At 43.2% G+C, this 1,634-nt stretch overlaps 1 annotated feature.

Annotated features, from left to right (window-relative positions):
* Positions 610 to 709: an enhancer, noted in NCBI's record as "active region_17170". NCBI's record gives its function as "activates an Ori minimal core promoter by ATAC-STARR-seq in GM12878 lymphoblastoid cells {active_cell/tissue: GM12878}" and the evidence as "EXISTENCE:reporter gene assay evidence [ECO:0000049][PMID:35858748]".

Below are 1,634 nucleotides of genomic sequence, written 5' to 3'. Positions count from 1 at the left end.
CTCTAGCCTGGGCAACAGAGCAAGACTCCATCTCAAAAAAAATAACAAAAACTCTTATATGTGAACCTCTCAGAAGCATTATTCAGAATAGCTGAAAAGGAGAAACAGCCCAAATGTCCATCAAGTGACTAATGAATAAACAAAATGTGATATATCCATGCAATAAAATATTATTCAGCCAAAAAAAATGAAGTACTAATACGTGTTACAACATAGATAAACTTTGAAAACATAGTAAGTGAAAGAATCTAGTCACAAAAGACTATGTATTATATGATTGTATTTATGTGAAATGTCCAGAATAGGCAAATCCATAGAGACAGAAAGTAGATTCGTGGCTGCCCAGGAATGGGGTGTGGGGGAACAGGAGGTGACTGCTAATGAATACAGGGTTTCTTTTTGGGATGATGGAAATAATCTTAAAATTAGATTGTGGTGATGTTTGCACAACTCTGTGAATATATTAAAAAGCATGAATTTTATGCCTTAAATAGATGAATTGTGTGGTATGTGAATTATATCTCAGCAAGTTATTTTTTAAGATGTAATTAAATTTATGTTTTGGAAAGATCAGCCTGGCAGTCATGTGGGAAAAAATTAGAGGAGTATAGAAATGAATGCAGAAAGGCCAGTGAAGAGGCTATTTTTACCATCAACGTGGTTATGAATGACAGAAGGCACGAGTGGAGGTGGTGGTAGAGAAAAGTGAATCACTCGAGAGAGACTCAGAAGGCACAAGACACAGGAGTTGGTGCTTGGTTGGCTACGTGCACGAGGGTGAGGGGGAAGTCCAGCATGACTCCCAGGTTCTAGCCAGATGGAGAAGTGCTACACTCACCACATTAGAGCAGAGTGCAAGAGGACCAAGCTTGCTTCTGTGCACAGGGTTATTACGAATTTAGCTTGGAGGTACTTTTGAGACATTCAAGCAAAGATGTTTAGCAAGTAGAGAAAGTGCTACAACAGACATGTGTGGGTAACCTTCATGTAGCAATGAAGCTCTGAGATTGGGTGAGACCACCTGGGAAAAGAGGACTGAGCCTAAAGAACTCACTCTGTTTCAATGGCTGGATAGAAGAGGACAAGCTGAAGAAAGGCCACGAAATGTAGGGGAAAGCCAGGGACGTCATCAGGGAACACCTGGGCTTCAAGAACCATGGATCTGTGGCATTGAATGGTGCTGTGAAGTCAAGGAAGACAGAACTAAACTGTGTGCACTGGATTCAGTGACATCGTGTTTTGGGGGCTGTCTGAAAGAGCTGCTTCCCTGGAATGATGTGCCCAGAAGCCAAATTGTGTTGGGCTGGAGAGTGAATAAGAGGGGAGGAGATGGAGATTAGGGGTCTTGGGTTAGGTTTTTCAGATGCAGACTGGGACATTCAAGTGCAAGTGATTGATTAAAATGCCCCAAGAAAATGCCAGTCAGGGGAGGGAAAGGAGAACAAAGAAGACAAGAGAAGGAGGCCAACCAAGGTGCAATCTCAGGAAACGCCAGCAGAGTGTGGCTTCAGCCGGATCCTGGATCCCACTGGAGAGCTCTGTGGTGTCAGTTGTTCCAGCCTGAGGCGAGGGAGCGTGGCTTTCAAGCATTGCCCCTGAGTCACCCTGAGTAAATTCTAGGAACTTCTGGAATG

The sequence above is a fragment of the Homo sapiens genome, chromosome 2 (assembly GCF_000001405.40).
Source record: "Homo sapiens chromosome 2, GRCh38.p14 Primary Assembly".
Classification (NCBI taxonomy): Eukaryota; Metazoa; Chordata; class Mammalia; order Primates; family Hominidae; genus Homo; species Homo sapiens.
Note: the sequence above shows the minus strand (reverse complement) of the source record. Positions and strands in the feature narration are given on the sequence as shown.